Source organism: Homo sapiens, chromosome 19 (assembly GCF_000001405.40).
Source record: "Homo sapiens chromosome 19, GRCh38.p14 Primary Assembly".
Classification (NCBI taxonomy): Eukaryota; Metazoa; Chordata; class Mammalia; order Primates; family Hominidae; genus Homo; species Homo sapiens.
The window spans coordinates 4,917,219-4,936,367 of NC_000019.10; the positions used below are offsets into that span (position 1 = coordinate 4,917,219).

A 19,149-nucleotide genomic window follows, 5' to 3' on the forward strand; every position below is an offset into this window, starting at 1 on the left:
AGTACTGGGTTTACAGGCATGAGCCACCACACTCGGCCCTTTGTCTAAGTTTTCAAAAGGAATCAGCAAACTTAGTTATCAAGTTGTATTTGTATTTATCTGGACACTTTTTTTTCTTTTCTTTTTTTTGCCTTTAAGGGAGACAGGGTCCACAAGGCCGGGCGTGGTGGCTTACGCCTGTAATCCCAGCACTTTGGGAGGCTGAGGCAGGCGGATCACGAGGTCAAGAGATCGAGACCATGCTGGCCAACATGGTGAAACCCCATCTTTACTAAAGATACAAAAATTAGCTGGGGATGGTGGTGCACGTCTGTAGTCCCAGCTACTTGGGAGGCTGACGCAGGAGAATTGCTGGAACCCAGGAGGTGGAGGTTGCAGTGAGCCGAGATCACGCCACTGCACTCCAGCTTGGCAACAGAGCGAGACTCCGTCTCAAAAAAAAAAAAAAAAAAAAAAAAAGAGACAAGGTCTTGCTGTCGTCCAGGCTGGAGTGCAGCGGCGTGATCATGGCTTACTGCAACCTCTGTTTTCCAGGCTCAAGCAATCCTCCTACTTCAGCCTCCTGAGTAGCTGGGACTACAGGTGCCTGCCACCACACCCAATATTTAAATTTTTATTAATTGAAAAAACTTTTTTGCAGAGACAGGGTCTTGCCTGGTATCAAACTCCTGGGCTCAAGTGATCCTCCTGCCTCGGCCTTCTGAGTAGTTGGGACTACAAGCATGAGCTATTGGGCCTGGCCTAGCTTTTATACAATGCCCATGTTACAAAATTCCAAATGTCCAAAAAGCAAGGAGAATATCTTCCACTCTGCCTTGACCTTCAGTTTCCCCCCTGTAGTAACCTGTCTGCTTCCAGAAGTGCTTGAACATGTGTGCGTTTGCTATGGGTTTTTTTTTGTTTGTTTTGTTTTGTTTTTGAGATGGAGTCTCACTCTGTTGCCCAAGCTGGAGTGCAGTGGCGTGATCTTGGCTCACTGCAACCTCCACCTCCCAGGTTCAAGTGATTCTCCTGCCTCAGCCTCCCAAGTAGCTGGGGTTACAGGTGCACACCACCACGTCCGGCTAATTTTTTTGTATTTTTAGTAGAGACGGGGTTTCACCACGTTGGCCAGGTTGGTCTCAAACTCCTGACCTCAGGTGATCCACCCACCTTGGCCTCCCAAAATGCTGGGATTACAAGTATGAGTCACTGTGCCTGGCCTGTTTTTTTTTTTTTGAGACAGAGTCTTGCTCTGTCGCCAGGCTGGAGTGCGTTGGCTTGATGTCAGCTCACCGCAACCTCCACCTCCCGGGTTCAAGCAATTCTGCGTCAGCCTCCCGAGTAGCTGGGACTACAGGCATGCACCACCATGCCCGGCTAATTTTGTATTTTTAGTAGAGACGAGGTTTCTCCATATTGGTCAGGCTGGTCTCTAACTCCTGACCTCCAGTTATCTGCCGGCCTCAGCCTCCCAAAGTGCTGGGATTACAGGCGTGAGCTACTGTGCCCAGCTGGTTTTTTTTTTTTTTTTTTTTTTTTAGACAGGCTCTTGCTCTGTTGCCCAGGCTGGAGTACAGTGGCACGATCTTAGCTCACTGCAGCCTCGAATTCCTGAGCTCAAGTGATCCTCCTGCCTCAGCCTCGCAAGTAGCAGGGACTATAGGCTGTATACTACTATACCTGGCTGATTTTAAACATTTTTATAGAGATGGGTTCCTGCCATGTTACCCAGGCTGGTCTTGAACTCCTAGCCTCAAATGATCCTTCTGCCTCAGCTTCCCAAGGTGCTGGGATTATAGACCTGAGCCACTGCTCCTGACCTCATTTTTTTTTTTTTTTTTTTTGAGACAGTGTATCAGTGTCTCCCAGGCTGGAGTGCAGCGGCGCGATCTCGACTCACTGCAACCCCTGCCTCTTGGGCTCAAGCAATCCTCCCACCACAGCCTTCCAGGTAGTTGGGACTAGAGGTAAATTTTATAGTGATGGGTTTTGCCATGTTGCCCAGGTGATCTTCAACTCCTGGACTCAAGTGATCCTCCCGTCTTGGCCTCCCAAATCATACCTGAGATTACAGGCATGAGCCACTGCACACAGCCCCATTTTAACTTTTTTTTTTTTCTGAGGCAGAGTCTCGCTCTGTCACCCAGGCTAGAGTGCAGTGGCGTGGTCTTGGCTCACTGCAAGCTCCACCTCCTGGGTTCATGCCATTCTCCTGCCTCAGCCTCCCGAGTAGCTGGGACTACAGGTGCCCGCCACCTCGCCCAGCTAATTTTTTGTATTTTTAGTAGAGATGGAGTTTCACTGTGTTAGCCAGGATGGTTTCGATCTCCTGACCTCATGATCCACCCGCCTCCGCCTCCCAAAGTGCTGGGATTACAGGTGTGAGCCACCGCGCCTAGCCCATTTTATCTTTTCTGATAATGATTTTCCTTTTGCCAAAAACGGCAAGTGGGTTTTAGATTAAGTCACTCCTTTTACCAGGCACAGTAGGAGACCTTGAGTTAGGGCTGAGGTGGTGTCATTTAATAGGGACATTCAACTTCACTAGGTTCAATGATAGGAGACTTTACAAATTTCCATAATGGTAAATCTTCTTTCATTTAAATTATTATTATTGTTAATATTTTTTTTTTTGAGACAGAGTTTTGCTCTTGTTGCCCAAGCTGGAGTGCAGTGGCGTGATCTCAACTCACTGCACCCTCCGCCTCCCGGGTTCAAGCGATTCTCCTGCCTCAGCCTCCCGAGTAGCTGGGATTACAGGCACCCACCACCACGCCTGGCTAATTTTGTATTTTTAGTAGAGACGGAGTTTCTCCATGTTGGTCAGGCTGGTCTCGAACTCCTGACCTCAGCTGATCCGTCCGCCTTGGCCTCCCAAGGTGCTGGGATTACGGGCATGAGCCATCGCACCCGGCCAATCATTTAAATTATTAATGAAGAATAAAAAGAGGCTGGGCGCAGCGGCTCATGCTTGTAATTTCAGCACTTCGGGAGGCTGAGGCAGGCAGATCACCTGAGGTCGGGAGTTAGAGATCAGCCTGGCCAACATGGTGAAACCTCGTCTCTACCAAAGATACAAAGATTAGCTGGGTATGCTGGCATGTGCCTGTACTCTCAGCCATTCGGGAGGCTGAGGCAGGAGAATCGCTTGAACCCGGGAGACGGAGGTTGCAGTGAGCTGAGATTGCGCCACTGCAGTTCAGCCTGGGTGACAGTGAGACTCCGTCTCAAAAAAAAGAAAAAAAAAAGTAAGTCCCACGTAGCCATCACCCTCTGCAGTAGTCATCTGCTGTGTCTGATCTTGTTCATTTTGCTCATTTCTACCCTACCCACTTACCTCTACCTGACTGGATTGTTTAAGAGATGGGATCTTGCTGTGTTGATCAGGGTGGAGCACAGTGGCTATTCACAGATGTGATCATTTTGCATGAGAACCCCAAACTCCTGGGCTCCCCTGACCCTCCAGCCTCAGTCTGCCAAGCAGCTGGGACTACAGATGTGAGCCACTGTACTGGCTCCTACTGGATCATTTTGAAGTGAGTTACAGATGCCATAACTATAACACAGACATCATAGGTACAGGAATTTCAGTGCATCTTCCCCAGTGGCTCATGGATCACACAGATAGAAAATCGGTCAGGAGGGCCACGCGCGGTGGCTCACACCTGTAATCCCAGCACTTTGGGAGGCCAAGGCGGGTGGATCACGAGGTCAAGAGATCGAAACCATCCTGGCCAACATGGTGAAACCCTGTCTCTACTAAAAATACAAACATTAGCTGGGCGTGGTGGCATGCACCTGCAGTCCCAGCTACTCGGGAGGCTGAGGCAGGAGAATCGCTTGAACCCAGGAGGCGGAGGTCACAGTGAGTCAAGATCGTGCCACTGCACTCCAGCCTGGTGACAGAGGGAGACTCCGTCTCAAAAAAGAAAAAAAAAGAAAGAAAATCGGCCAGGATGCCGGGCACGGTGGCTCAGCCCTATAATTCCAGCACTTCGGGAGGCCAAGGCGGGTGGATCAACTGAGGTGGGGATTTCGAGACCAGCCTGACCAACATGGAGAAACCCCATCTCTACTAAAAATACAAAATTAGCCAGGTATGGTGGCGCATGTCTGTCATCGCAGCTACTCGGGAGGCTGAGGCAGGAGAATTGCTTGAACCTGGGAGGCGGAGGTTGCAGTGAGCCGAGATTACACCACTGCACTCCAGCCTGGGCAACAAGAGTGAAACTCCGTTTCAAAAAACAAACGAAAAAGGAAAGTTGGTCAGGATGCTGGGCACAGTGGCTGGGTCCTGTAATCCCAGCACTTTGGGAGGCTGAGTCAGAAGGATCAGTTGAGCCCAGGAATTTGAGACCAGCATGGGCAACATGGAGAAACCCTGTCTGTACAAAAAATACAAAAAACTTTCTGGACGTGATGGCCCATGCCTGTAGTCCCAGTTACTTGGAGGGGCCGAGGCGGGAGGGTTGCTTGAGCCCAGGAGGTCGAGGTTGCAGTGAGCCATGGTCGTGCCACTGCCCTCCAGCCTGGGCAACAGGGAGGGAGACCCTGTTTTAAGAAGAAAAAGAAAATTGATAAAGATGTAGATGATTTGAACAACACAAGTAACAGGGTTACCGTAATGACATGGATGGAATCTGAACCCAGCAAGAGAGAAAACACATTCTTCTCAGGCCACGAGGAGTGCTTAGGGAAACTGACCACATACAAGGCAAGTCTTAAAAACTCGATTTTTATTTTTATTTGTATTTACTTATTTTGTTTATTTATTTGAGACAGTCTCGCTCTGTCGCCTAGGCTGGAGTGCAATGGTGAGATTTCGGCTCACTGCCTCCCAGGTTCAAGCTATTCTCCTGCCTTAGCCTCCTGAGTAGCTGGAATTACAGGCGTGCGCCACCACACCCAGCTAATTTTTGTATTTTTAGTAGAGATGGAGTCTCACCATGTTGGCCAGGCTGGTCTCGAACTCCTGATCTCAAGTGATCTGCCTGCCTCGGCCTCCCAAAGTGCTGGGATTACAGGTGTGAGCCACCGGACCTGGGCTTTTGTTTTTTATGTTTTCATTTATTTATTTGTTTTTGAGATGGAGTCTTGCTCTGTTGCCCGGACTGGAGTGCAGTGGTGTGATCTCGGCTCACTGCAAACTCTGCCTCCTGGGTTCAAGCAATTCTTGTGCCACAGCCTCCCCAGTAGCTGGGACTACAGGCGCCCACCACCACGCCCGGGTAATTTTTTGTGTTTTCAGTAGAGATGGGGTTTTGCCATGTTGGCCAGGCTGGTCTCGAACTCCTGACCTCAGGTGATCCATCCGCCCTCGGCCTCCCCAAGTGCTGGGATTACAGGCGTGCACCACCGTGCCTGACCCTTTACAAATTTAGAACAATTACTGCCTTACTGACCATGTTTTCTCTCACCTGTGGGGTCAGAACTTAACAATAACTAAGCTTCCTCCTTCGCGCTTCGGGTTGTGCAAGCTTCCTCCTGCCTGCTTTGGGGCCTTTCTGCAATGTTCCAGAAGCGGCATCAGGAGGCTGCCCAGCCAGCTCGTGAGTTGTGTTCTGGAGTCAGAGTTTTGTGCCAGCCTGGGCCAGGCCCCATCCCCACTTCCCGCCCCATTTGCCCCTGTCTACATCATTGTACTGGGAGACACTTCCTGTCCCTCCTACGTAGCCCACGCTAAGCAGGGTGCTTCTATCCACCTCACCTTTCCGATGTGGGAAGGGCCGAAGTCATGGAGGGGCGACCCGTCAGGCCCAGCAAGGGTGGCACAGATGTTGTCCCTAGTAACAGATGAGAGGGGATGGGCTGGGACTGCAGGCCTGGCTCCCCAAGCTGCTCCTGCGGGTCAGGGGCTGCCCATTAGCCTGGCCAGGGCCCCTCATTGGATCCCTCCTGGCCGCCCAGACCACAGCCCTTGCCCCCCTGCCTACCCGCCACCAGTTCTCATTGGCCCTGCCTCCCTGCTTAACTCTGCCGCCTTGGCTTCCCCTCCTCGGTCTGTCTCCTCCCCGACTTGTCCTCTGTCTGAGTCTGGCAGGACAGAGTCCGACCGTCTGGCCCCCTCCTGGCTCCGTCTGCTCCTCCTGCCGCCTCCTGCTGTCGAGGTCACTTGGTTCTTGGCCTGTCTGGCCCCCAGCCACCCTGCTGGCTGCCTGCTCTCCAGGCAGCCCCTCGCCCAGGGCTGCACCTCCGACCTGTCCTCCGTCTTGGGTGGGGCTGGGACTGTATTTTCCATCCTCTGCAGTGGTCTGGTTTCCCTCGTGCGCTGAGGCCCCTCTGCTTGGCTGCCCCTGGCTGCCCCATGCAGCTGAGCCATGAGCGCGGCCTGTGTGCCCCTCTCCCGCTGGCTGGAGCTCAGGATGCTCACGCCGCTCTGGCAGATATCGCTGCTGCAAACATAGGAGGAGCAGCTGCCCCTCTGCGCACGTGGCCTTCGGACACATGTGAGGGCCGCTCTAGCTTGGGTGCTCACTGCGGGTGATTCCACCCTCCAGGGGACACTGGGGGATGTCTGGGGACATTCATGACTCGGGCGCTCCTGGCGTGGAGTAGGTGGAGGCCTGGAGTGCTGATTAGCACCCTGCAGGGCCCAGGAAGGCCCCACCCCAGAGAGTGATCAGACCCCAAATGTCAGCTTTGGCAAGAGCAGTGTGCCTGGCCACAGAGGTGCTGGCCCGGATGCAGATGAGTGCCCCATCCATCCCTCTGAGCGCCGTGTGGCTTGTCCCATGCTGCTTTTCCTGACCCAGTGATATTGGGGGCACTTGACTTCTCTCTTTTTAAGACGGAGTCTCATTCTGTCACCCACGCTGGAGTGCAGTGGCGAGATCCTGGCTCACTGCAACCTCCACCTCCCAGGTTCAAATGATTCTGTTGCCTTAGCCTCTTGAGTATTTGGGATTACAGGCACTAACCACCATGCCTGGCTAATTTTTTAATTAATTTTTAATTTTTTTATTTTTTTGAGACGGAGTCTCGCTCTGTCGCCCAGGCTGCAGTGCAGTGGCGTGATCTCGGCTCACGGCAAGCTCCGCCCCCCGGGTTCATGCCATTCTCCTGCCTCAGCCTCCCGAGTAGCTGGGACTACAGGTGCCCGCCACCACGCCTGGCTAATTTTTTGTATTTTTAGTAGAGATGGGGTTTCGCCGTGTTAGCCAGGATGGTCTTGATCTCCTGACTTCATGATCCACCCGCCTCGGCCTCCCAAAGTGCTGGGATTATAGGCGTGAGCCACCGCACCCGGCCAATTTTTGTATTTTTAGTGGAGACGGGGTTTGGCAATGTTGCCCAGGCTGGTCTCGAACTCCTGGCCTCAAGTGATCTGCCCACCTCGGCCTCCCAAAATGCTGGGATTACAGAGTAAGCCACTGTGCCCAGCCCCTTTTTTAGAAAAAATTAATAAACTTTATTTTCTAGAGCAGTTCTAGGTTCACAGCAAAATTGAGCAGAAGGTACGGAGTTCCTATAGACCCCCTGCCCCAACAGGCATAGCCGCCCCCACTGTCAGCCTCCCCCACAGAGCGGTGCATCGGTTACAGTTGATGGCCCGATGGCCCTCTGTGGAGTCATCTTCATCTCTGAGTCCACAGTCTACATACACCAAGGCTTGCCCTTGGTGTTAAGTTTTTTTTTTTTTTTTTTTGAGACAGTGTCTCACTTGTCGCCCAGGCTGGAATGTAGTGGCGTGATCTCGGCTCACTGTAACCTCTGCCTCCCAGGTTCAAGCGATTCTCCTGCTTCAGCCTCCTGAGTAGCTGGGACTACAGGCGCGTGCCACCACGCCTGGCTAATTTTTGTATTTTTAGTAGAGACGAGGTTTCACCATGTTGGCCAGGCTGGTCTCGAACTCCTGACTTCAAGTGATCCACCTGCCTTGGCCTCCCAGAGTGTTGAGATGACGGGCGTGAGCCACTGTGCCTGGCCTGCTTCATGTTTTAAATAACGGCTTTATTATATCCCTGCAGTTCACCCAGTTAAAGTACACAGTTGAGGTATATTCATAGTTGTGTAATCATCACTGCAGTCTATTTTAGAACATTTTGTCACCTTGAAAGGAAACCCTGAACCCTGTCCCAGCTACTGCTTCCTTTTTCTGCATCTCCTCCCGCAGCCCCTGGCACCCTCAAATCCCCTTCCTGCCTCTGTGGCTTGGCCTGTCCTGGAAATTTCATAGAAATGGGATCATGCACTGCGTGGCCTTTTGTGTCTGGTGTTTCTCACTGAGTGTGATGTCCTCAAGGTGCATCCACACTGTGGCCTGGGTCACAGCCTTGCTCCTTTTCATGGCTGAGTCGTATTTTATTTTGCCTTATATTTTATTTATTTTATTTTATTTCTTAAGACAGTCTTGCTCTGTTGCCCAGGCTGGAGTGCAATGGCACAATCTCTGCTTACTGCAACCTCCGTCTCCCAGGTTCAAGCAATTCTCCTGCCTCAGCCTCTGGAGTAGCTAGGATTACAGGCACCCGCCACCACGCCCAGTTAAGTTTTGTATCTTTAGTAGAGACGGGGTTTCACCATGTTGACCAGGGTGGTCTCAAACTCCTGACTTCAGGTGATCTGCCCTCGTTGGCCTCCCAAAGTGCTGGGATGACAGGCGTGAGCCACCGCACGCGGCCTGAGTCATATTTTGACACATGGATGGATGGCCACATTGTGTTGATCCTCTCACCTGTTTTTTCTTTTCTTTCTTTCTTTTTTTCTTTCTTTTTGAGACGGAGTTTTGCTCTTTTTGCCCAGGCTGGAGTGCAGTGGTGCAATCTCGGCTCACTGCAACTTCTACCTCCCAGGTTCAAGCAATTGTCCTTCCTCAGCCTCCCGAGTAGCTGGGATTACAGGCACCTGCCACTATGCCCGGCTAATTTTGTATTTTTAGTAGAGACAGGTTTCACCATGTTGGCCAGGCTGGTCTTGAACTCCTGACCTCGTGATCTGCCTGCCTCGGCCTCCCAAAGTGCTGGGATTACAGGCGTGAGCCACCGCACCCAGCCTCAATCCCCTCACCTGTTGATGGACACCTGGGTTGCTTCCACTCTCAGGCTGTTGCGAGTGATGCCGTGTGAACCTGCGTGTACAGGTTGACGTGCCTCTTCCTCTCCATCCGTGCCACCTCTCCCCAAAGCCAGCTGCTCTGTGCTGGAGAGCTGGCCCTGAGCCTCCTCCTGGCTCCCAGGCAGCGCCTAGCATGTCAGAGGCACTCACTTCTAGCTGGGAGAACAGAGGGGCTGAAGCGGATATTGGTGGGCCCTCGATGTCCACGGTGGGTTTCAGAGCAGCCCTTGAAACCCTTGTAGCTGTAGGTGGGTGTGTACATATTCAAACGGGTTTTTCTGATGCTGGTGGATCGCTTGCTTGAGCCCCGGAGTTCAAAACCAGCTTGGGCAAAGCAGCAAGACCTCATCTCTAAAAAAAATTAGCTGGGCATGGGTGATGTGTGCCTGTGGTCCCAGCCACTCAGGAGCCTGAGGCAGGAGGATTACTTGAGCCCAAGGTTCGATGCTGCAGTGAGCTACGATTGCACCACTGCCCTCCATCCTTGGCAACAGAGTGAGATCCTTTCTAAAGGAAAAAAAAAAAAAAGTCCGGGTGCAGTGGCTCACGCCTGTAATCCCGGCACTTTGGAAGGTTGAGGTGGGCGGATCACGAGGTCAGGAGATCGAGACCATTCTGGCTAACATGGTGAAACCCCACCTCTACTAAAAATACAAAAATTAGCCGGGCTTGGTGGCGGGTGCCTGTAATCCCCGCTACTTGGGAGGCTGAGGCAGGAGAATGGCGAACCTGGGAGGCGGAGCTTGCAGTGAGCCAAGATCGTGCCACTGCACTCCAGCCTGGGCGACAGAGCAAGATTCCGCCTCAAAACAAAAAACAAAACAAAACAAAACAAAAAAAAACAGGCCGGGTACTGTGGTTCATGCTGTAATCCCAGCTCTTTGGGAGGCCGAGGTGGGTGGATCCCTTCAGCGTAGGAGTTCAAAACCAGCCTGGCCAACATGGCGAGACCCTGTCTCTACTAAAAATACAAAAATTAGCTGGGTGTGATGGCTCATGCCTATAGTCCCAAGCTACTCAGGAGGCTGAGGCACAAGAATCGCTTGAACCTGGGAGGTGGAGATTGCAGTGAGCTGAGATCACACCCCTACACTCCACCCTGGGCGACAGAGTGAGACTCCATCTCAAAAAAAAAAAAAAAAAAAAAAATTTTTTTCTGGAAAAGATGAGTCAGCCTTTATCAGGTTCTTAGGTTTATGGTGAACAAAGAAAGAAAGCCTGCAGAGAAGGGCCTTGGCCTTCACTGTGACCCCCATGCTGTTTGCATTTGAACAGCCGTCAGGCCTTGGATCCCCAAGGGGCGAAAGGAGGAAGAGCTGACATTCTATGTATGTCTCTCTCCTCCCTTTTCCTAAGGTCTCTCTCCTCCCTTTTCCTAAGGATGCTCCTGAACCAGGGCATTTCTGCCTCTAGGGGACACATGGTGATGTCTGGGGGACATCGGTTGTTGTCATGACTGGTGGAGGCCAGGGCCGCTGCAGTGCCTCTGCAGTGCCCAGCACGGCCCCACGGTCCAGTGCCCAGAGGGGGAGACCCAGCCCATCCCAGAGTGGTCAGCCCTAATGTCAGCCATGCTTAGGTCGAGAAACCTGTATTAATTACATGGAAACCAACCGAGTCCAATCCTGCTCGCACCAGGCACGGGATAAACTCCTGACGGGGCAGACGTGGAAACCAGGGGGACCCCCAGCTCCTGGGATTCACCTCCTCTCTCCCTTCCCACTCAGTGTGTGGATTTTAATGCGTGCAGCCTCCTGGGACCTCAGTAGGGCACAGCATCATGGGATAAGGAGTTTCTTGGGGGCCTGTGGAATCCTTCACCAGGGGGTCTCACCCAGGGTGACTTCACACCCCCCCACCCCATACCGTATGATGTCTGGGGACATTTGTGGTCGTCACAACTACGGGGTGCTCCTGGCATGGAGTAGGTGGAGGCCAGGGACGCTGCTCAGCACCCTGCAGTGCCCAGGATGGCTCCGCCCCAGAGAATGGTCCAGGACCTGGCCCCAATGTCTGCAGTGCCGGGGGAGAGGAACTTGTTGCCTTGGGGGCATCTAGATGGCAAATCATCAGGAGGGGGGGGTCCTAGATGGCAAACCACCGGGAGAGGGTCCTTGTTGGGTGTTGGTGGAGTGTGAAGGGGCAGCTTCTGACAAAATGCCTCGGCTTCTCCAGCCCCCAGATACAGCTCAGGTGATGAGCTCCTCCTTGCATACCTGCTGAGTCAGGTGACCCGAGGGGCAGGCTGTGGAGCCAGGCCCCAGGGGTTGAGCGCATCAGGATAAAAGCGCACAAAGGGCGGGTGGAGCTGAGGGTCAGAGGAGGTGCCCTGGCAGGCGAGATTGGCGCTGGAGCCTTACCCAGGAAGCTCATAGGAAGCTCATGGATGCTGGCATGTGCCTCTTGCTGTTCAGGTGGGACAGGGTCTCTCTGTCTCGACACTGGACAGTGGGACCGTCCTGGGCACTGCAGGGTGCCGAGCAGCGTTCCTGGCCTCCACCCACTCCATGCTAGGAGCTTCTCCCAGTGGCGACAACCACAAATGTCCCAGACGTGGCCCAGCGTCCCCCGGGGTCTGAATCATGTTTGGTTGAGAAGCAGTGACAGAGGTGACACATGTTCACTGTCACAAAAGCTGCCGTAAGCACGAAGTATTAGGAAAAACTCCCAAGACCCCCATGTGTGCGTGGTGCCCCGTGATGATGTTTTGTGCTTCTGGGTGCTTCCTGCATGCAGTGCCAAAAGCCCTCGCTAGAGGGGCCTGAGACCCTGAGGGAAGGGACTGGGGTGCCGCTTGTGAGCGGGACAGCCCCCTGGCATGGCCCAGGTATCATGGCTCTTTACTCTGATGCAGATTGCCCCCCCCCCACAAGGGCTGGGACACAGTGTTTGGTTCATCACTGGTGCCCACAGATGCCCACTTGGCATTTGGTGGCTAAACAGCGTCTGCCTCTGGTGTCCCTGCAGATGGAGGACGGCCATACCCTCTTCGACTACGAGGTCCGCCTGAATGACACCATCCAGCTCCTGGTCCGCCAGAGCCTCGTGCTCCCCCACAGCACCAAGGAGCGGGACTCCGAGCTCTCCGACACCGACTCCGGCTGCTGCCTGGGCCAGAGTGAGTCAGACAAGTCCTCCACCCACGGTGAGGCGGCCGCCGAGACTGACAGCAGGCCAGCCGATGAGGACATGTGGGATGAGACGGAATTGGGGCTGTACAAGGTGAGCCTCCCCTCCGCAGCTGCTCTGGGGTTGGACGTTCTCCCTGCCATTCTGGTCTTTGCATACCCAGGGCTCACAGGAGGGGCTTCCCACGCGCCTCTCTAGCTCTGGCTGGGCAGAAATGGCCAAGGGGTGGTTTCCTGCACGTTCCTTGAGGGGAACATGGTACCCTGGGATTCCTTTGTGGACCTCTAGAGCAGAGTCCTGTTCGGGGCCTGCAGGTGTCTTCTCCGTGAAGCTTGCAGTGGCTGTGACGTTTCTGAACTTGCTGCTACCATGTAAGATCAGGAAATGTCACAGAAAGATCTGGGTTTCCAGCTTTTTTATTTTTTTATTTTTTTTTTGGCAGGGTCTCACTTTGTTGCCCAGCCTGGGGTGCAGCCGTGTGATCACAGCTCACTGTAGCCTCGAACTCCTGGGCTCAAGTGATCCTCCCACCTCAGCCTCCTGAGTAGCTGATGTTATAGGCATGTGCCACCACGCCCAGCTAATTTTATTTTATTTTATTACTTTTTTAATACATGGTCTCATTCTGTCGCCCAGGCTGGAGTACAGTGGTGCCATCTCGGCTCATTGCAACCTCCAACTCCTGGGTTCAAGCAATTCTCGTGCCTCAGCCTCCTGAGTAGCTGGGATTACAGGCATGTGCCACCACACCTGGCTAATTTTTGTATTTTTTGTAGAGACGGGATTTCGCCATGTTGGCCAGGCTAGTCTTGAACTCCTGGCCTCAAGTGATCTTCCCGCCGCAGCCTCCCAAAGTGCTGGAATTATAGGTGTGAGCCACTGCACCCAGTCTGTTTTATTTTTTAGTAGACACAGCGTCTTACCATGTTGCCCAGGCTAGTCTTGAATTCCGGGGCTCAAGCGATCCACCTGCCTCGGCCTCCCAAAGTGCTGGTATTCCAGGCGTGAGCCACGACGCCCTGCCTGGATTTCCAGCTTCTCTTGACAAATGGGCAGCTCTGGTCTCTCAGGGCCTCCCAGCAGCTGTGGCTGAAGCAGAGCCGCAGGGGCCTTTGTTAAGACAGTCCATGCCCCCTGGCCCCGCATCCCCGTCACCCCTGCCGGGGCTGGTTTCTCATGGTCAGCGGTTCCCAGCCAGGGAGGAGAAACCTCGCTGTGGGCATTCGAGTTTGCGCCCTGGTTCCAGAGCATCCCAGTGTCCGAGAACCAAGGTGGTCTCCCGTCAGTTTTCCTCACCCCGTTGGGATGCCAGACTTCCCTCATTCCTCACAGGTCAATGAGTACGTCGATGCTCGGGACACGAACATGGGGGCGTGGTTTGAGGCGCAGGTGGTCAGGGTGACGCGGAAGGCCCCCTCCCGGGACGAGCCCTGCAGCTCCACGTCCAGGCCGGCGCTGGAGGAGGACGTCATTTACCACGTGAAATACGACGAGTGAGTCATGGCAGGTGGGCGGGCCTGGGTATTCAGGCTCTGTGACGCGCATCCTTGGCTGCGGGTGTTCAGGCCAGAGCTTGGCACTGTCTCGAGATGGTGATCAGGATCTGGGGCCCCATCCTCGAATTCCTAACAGCATACGAGGCTGCCCACTTGGGGACTAGCCTGGGGACCCGAAGCCGGCTGCCCCCTCCTGTGTCTCCGCGGAGGGTTCTGCTCGATCAGTGGCTGAAACTGCCACCCCATCAGTTTTTCTGTTTTATTCCATCTTCCGGGTTTGTCATCTCTCCCTCATCCCCACCCCTAACGTCAGTCTCCAGTCTTTGCACAAGTGTTTACTGGGCACTTCCTACCTGCCAAGTTCGGGGTCCACACACCAGTGGACACAGATGGTGGCTGCGTCTGTCCGTGCTGCCATCGTGAGATTTCACAGACGGTGTGGCTTAAACACGGACATTGGTTGACTTGCTCACTGCAACCTCTGCCTCCTGGATTCAAGCGATTCTCCTGCCTCAGCCTCCTGAGTAGCTGGGACTACAGGTGCCCGCCACCACACCCAGCTAATGTTTGTATTTTTATTTTATTTTATTTTTATTTTATTTTTTCGAGACAGAGTCTTACTCTGTCACTCAGGCTAGAGTGCAATGGCGTGGTCTCAGCTCACTGCAACCTCCGCCTCCCAGGTTCAAGCGATTCTCCTGCCTCAGCCTCCCAAGTAGCTGGGATTACAGGTGTGTGGCCACCACGCCTGGCTAATTTTTGTATTTTCAGAAGAGATGGGGTTTCACTATGTAGGTGAGGCTGGTCTCAAACTTCTGACCTCGTGTTCCGCCCGCCTCAGCCTCCCAGAGTGTTGGGATTACAGGTGTGAGCCACTGTGCCCAGCTTATTTTATTTTTTTGAGACAGTTTCACTCTGTCCCCCAGGCTGGAGTGCAATGGTGTGATCTTGGCTCATTGCACCCTCCATCTCCCGGGTTCAAACGATTCTCCTGCCTCAGCCTCCCAAGTGGCTGGGACTACAGGCGTGCACCACTGCGCCCAGCTAATTTTTGTTTTTGTTTTGTTTTTGAGACAGAGTTTCACTCTTGTTGCCCAGGCTGGCGTCAATGGCGCGATCTCGGCTCACCGCAACCTCTGCCTCCCGGGTTCAAGCAATTCTGCCTCAGCCTCCCGAGTAGCTGGGATTACAGGCATGCGCCACCACGCCTGGCTAATTTTGTATTTTTAGTAGAGATGGGGTTTCTCCATGTTGGCTGGTCTCCAACTTCCGACCTCAGATGATCTGCCTGCCTCAGCCTCCCAAAGTGCTGGGATTACAGGCATGAGCCACCGTGCCCGGCCATGCCTGGCTAATTTTTGTATTTTTAGTAGAGGCAGGGTTTCACCGTGTTGGTCAGGCTGGTCTTGAACTCCTGACCTCAGGTGATCTTCCCGCTTCGGCCTCCCAAAGTGCTGGGATTACAGGCGTGGGCCACCTTGCCCGGCCTCTCCTCTTGTTCTAAAGACACCAGTCCTGTTGGATTGGGGCCCACCCTACTGCAGTGTGATCTCATCTTAATATGATTTCATCTGCAAAGGTTCTATCTACAAAGACCCTGTTTCCAAAAACAATCCTATTCGTGGGTACTGGGGATCAGCCTTTGAACATCTCTTTTTGCAGGGGACACGGGCAACCCATAACAATTTTGTACCTGGAATGTGCCTTAATATACCTGTGTGTTCTCAACACCAGCATATAAGCCTGTTGGGAGGGGCCTCTGCACACTGTCGGGAGGGGCCGTCCCACCTCGGCTCGTTTCCCATTGAGGGAAGGAGGCTTGGTCTTAGCACGGGGTCTAAGGCCCGGGCTTTCCTCCCAGCTACCCGGAGAACGGCGTGGTCCAGATGAACTCCAGGGACGTCCGAGCGCGCGCCCGCACCATCATCAAGTGGCAGGACCTGGAGGTGGGCCAGGTGGTCATGCTCAACTACAACCCCGACAACCCCAAGGAGCGGGGCTTCTGGTACGACGCGGAGATCTCCAGGAAGCGCGAGACCAGGACGGCGCGGGAACTCTACGCCAACGTGGTGCTGGGGTGAGCCTCGCGTCCTGGGGCGAGCCCTTCCTCTCTCCTTTCCTCCCCTCCCGGGGCCCCCGGACTGGCTTTGAAGCCGTCCAGCCAGCGCTGTGTGTGCGAGGCCCTTAGCCTCCGGCCTGGCCTTCCTGCCTCCCCTCTGGGGTCTGTTCCTGCTCACTGCTGAGCATCTTTCTAAGACCGACCACCTTGTGCCCCTGAGTGCCTCTGCCCAGGGAACTGTCTCTGACCCCCAGGCCCTGACAGGCAGAGTTGTCAAACTTCCTTTTTCTCATGGTGTTTTTTTTATCGCTCTGTTGCCCAGGCTGGAGTGCAGTGGTTCGATCTCGGTTCACTGCAAGCTCTGCCTCCTGGGTTCATGCCATTCTCCTGCCTCAGCCTCCCGAGTAGCTGGGACTACAGGCGTCTACCACCACACCTGGCTAATTTTTTTGTATTTTTAGTAGAGACGGGGTTTCACCGTTAACCAGGATGGTCTCGATCTCCTGACCTCGTGATCTGCCTGCCTCGGCCTCCCAAAGTGCTGGGATTGCAGGCAGTGAGCCACCGTGCCTGGCCTCAAGCTTTCTTTTTCTCTCTTGTTTGTTTCAAATTTGGTGAATAGGTCCCATTCACAGGGTCAAAATAGAAAGCACCCAAGACCACACATGAAGGTTCTCCCTCCTCTGCCTGGTCACCCAGTTCCCCTTTTTGGCGACATCACTGTTACCAACTTTCCAGGGACATTCTGTTCATAAACATACACGCCAAACCACACCGCTTAGGAGTTGGCAAACTGCAGTCCACAGGCCTGCTGTGGTCCGCTGCCGGCTTTGACTAATAGTTTTATTGGGACGTGGTCACACCCATTTTTATCTTATTACCTGTGGTTGCTTTTGTGTTATAAGAGCAGAGTTGTGTAGTTGCAACAGAGACTATGCGGCCTACAAAGCTGAAAATCCTTCCTATTTGGCCATTTGCAGAATCATTTTGCAAAGCCTGTTCTTTCTCCCTTGCCTCTTTGTGTGTGTGTGTGCGTGTGTGTGTGTGTGTGTGTGTGTGATAAAATGTATGTAACAGAAAATTTACCTTTTTTTTTTTTTTAAAAGACAGAGTCTCCCTCTGTCGCCCAGGCTGGGGTATAGTGGCATGATCTTGGCTCACTGCAGCCTCCGCCTTCCAGGTTCAGGTGATTCTCCTGCCTCAGCCTCCCAAGTAGTTGGGATTACAGGCGCCCGCCACCACGTCTGGCTAATTTTTGTATATATATATATATTTAGTAGAGTCTGGGTTTCACCATGTTGGCCAGGCTGGTCTCGAACTCCTGACCTCAAGTGATTCGCCCGCCTCAGCCTCCCACAGTGCTGGGATTACAGGCATGAGCCACTGCGCCCGGCCAAAAATTTACCATTGGAACCATGTTTAAGCGCACAGTTCGGTGGCATTAAACGCATTTACGTTGTTACGCAACCATCTCCAGCACTTTGTCCTCTTCCCAAACTGAAACTCTGACTCCATGAAACACTCACTCCCTAGCCCCTGACACCTCTGCATCCTACTTTCCATCTCTGTGAATCTGACAACTCGGGGGACCTCCTAGGAATGGGATCACACAGGATTTGTCCTTTGCATCTGTTCACTGACGTCACTGAGTGTGATGTCCTTGAGGTGCATCAGGCTGTAGCCTGGTCGGAATTTCCCTCCTTTTTGTGGCCGAGTGATAGTACGTGACGTGTTGTCTATAAACACGAGCATCTTGGCAACGGCGTTCCAAGTACAGGTACAGCAAGCACGCAGAGGTCCTGGGCTGGGACATTTATGGTGCATCTGTGGCCCGGTAGGGAGGTCAGTGAGCTGCGGGTGATGGAGGGGAGTGGCTGGGGCTGTGGGAGCCTCCTCACTGAGTCTGGGCCTTAAGCGCGTGGCTCGGGTGTGGTGTGGAATTGGTCTTTATTCTCTGCTAGGCGCATTTCTGAATCTGAGATTTTCTGAGAAACTATCTGGATTGTTATATGGAATCTGATTTTTAAATGCTGGTGACTAACTTTTTTTTTTTGAGACAGAGTCTTGCTCTGTCACCCAGGCTGGAATGCAGTGGCAGGATCTCTGCTTACTGCAACCTCCACCTCCCGGGTTCAAGGGATCCTCCTGCCTCACCCTCCTGAGTAGCTGGGACTATAGGTGCCCACCACCAGCTAATTTTTGTATTTTTAGTGGAGACAGAGTTTCACCATGCTGCCCAGGCTGGTCTTGAACTCCTGACCTCAGGCGATCCACCCACCTCAGCCCCTCAAAGTGCTGGGATTACAGGCGTGAGCCACCGCACCCAGCCTATCTGGTTTTATAAAGGGCAGTTCCCCTGCACACACTCCCTTGCCTGCCGCTGTGTAAGATGTGCCTGTGCTCGTTCACCTTCCACCATGATTGTGAGGCCTCCCCAGCCATGCGGAACTGTGAGTCCATTAAACCTCTTTCCTTTCTAAATTACCCAGTCTTTATTATTTAGTATGTCTTTATTAGCAACATGAGAACAGACTCATACAACCCCTTCCAAGCTCTTGTGGTGGCTGATATAATCCACTACTTTGCGGTTGAAGGATGGGGGCTTCATTTTTTTTTTTTTAACTTGGTTCTTGGAGGCCGCCTGCAGTTCCCAGGGCCCACCTGCAGTTCCTTGCCCCATGGGCTTCTCTGATGTGGCTACTGATGTCAAGCTAGCAAGGGAGGTCTTCAGCTAGTCGGCTAGTAAGATATAGAGCATCGTGTGATGTGTCATCGTCCCAGGAGTGACAGTCCGTCAGCTCTGCTGTATTTTATGGGTTAGGTTTAAGTGACAGCCCTGTCCATACTTTTATGGGGAGAAACGCCTACAAATGCGTGGTTGCCAGGAGGTGGGGGTTGTGGGGCCACCTTAGGCTCCATCCGCACCAGTTATACACCAGCTGCTGCCCGTTTACCCTGAGACAGATAACCTGCCCAGCCAGCACCCACGGGCTTCCTCCACCTCAGTCCCTCCCCTAGCAGAAGAAAACTGCATTTCTGCACATTGACTGTCACAAGGCAGGGGTGTCACCAGGCAGGGAAACGAAGATACCTGGCCGACCACACCTTGGGGTGTTTGGGTTCTTCGATTCATTCATGCTTGTGTCCCGAGCCCTCTGGGGATGCAGGAGGCACAGCGGGAAAGGGAACAGGTGCTCGGTCCAGGCGGCCTTGGGGCAGACACTGTCCCTTGCCAGCCCCATGGGAGCTTCCAGGGATGCAGTGAGAGGGTCACGCTGAGCCGAGTTGTGCCTCGCAATGAGTTTGTGATGTGTGCCCATCGTTAGCACCTTCGACTTCTATCATCTGCTGAGTCAGGCATCATACAAGATGAGACAGAGAAACGCGATTGCAGTCCCTGTCTTAGGAGGCACCCAGCCTGGTGTGGGA

The 19,149-nt window shown here is 53.4% G+C and overlaps 1 protein-coding gene and 1 non-coding gene across 10 annotated transcripts in view, besides 2 other annotated features; both read left to right on the forward strand.

Annotated features, from left to right (window-relative positions):
* Positions 1–19,149, forward strand: part of UHRF1 (ubiquitin like with PHD and ring finger domains 1) — a 59,075-nt gene that overhangs the window by 14,139 nt on the left and 25,787 nt on the right. For all 9 annotated transcript variants that reach the window (NM_001290050.2, NM_001048201.3, XM_011527942.2 and 6 more), the window contains 3 exons: positions 12,004–12,258; positions 13,498–13,658; positions 15,523–15,738. In NM_001290050.2, the coding sequence (NP_001276979.1) occupies positions 12,004–12,258; positions 13,498–13,658; positions 15,523–15,738 (632 nt within the window). The remainder of the gene's footprint in view (positions 1–12,003; positions 12,259–13,497; positions 13,659–15,522; positions 15,739–19,149) is intronic.
* Positions 5,997–6,725: an enhancer, noted in NCBI's record as "H3K4me1 hESC enhancer chr19:4923227-4923955 (GRCh37/hg19 assembly coordinates)". NCBI's record gives its function as "activates a minimal SCP1, AML or CMV promoter by ChIP-STARR-seq in primed H9 embryonic stem cells {active_cell/tissue: H9 hESC(primed)}" and the evidence as "EXISTENCE:reporter gene assay evidence [ECO:0000049][PMID:30033119]".
* Positions 13,363–13,862: an enhancer, noted in NCBI's record as "H3K4me1 hESC enhancer chr19:4930593-4931092 (GRCh37/hg19 assembly coordinates)". NCBI's record gives its function as "activates a minimal SCP1, AML or CMV promoter by ChIP-STARR-seq in naive H9 embryonic stem cells {active_cell/tissue: H9 hESC(naive)}" and the evidence as "EXISTENCE:reporter gene assay evidence [ECO:0000049][PMID:30033119]".
* Positions 15,469–15,522, forward strand: MIR4747 (microRNA 4747). Its single transcript, NR_039902.1, has one exon. It is a non-coding gene; the product is annotated as a microRNA 4747 (primary transcript).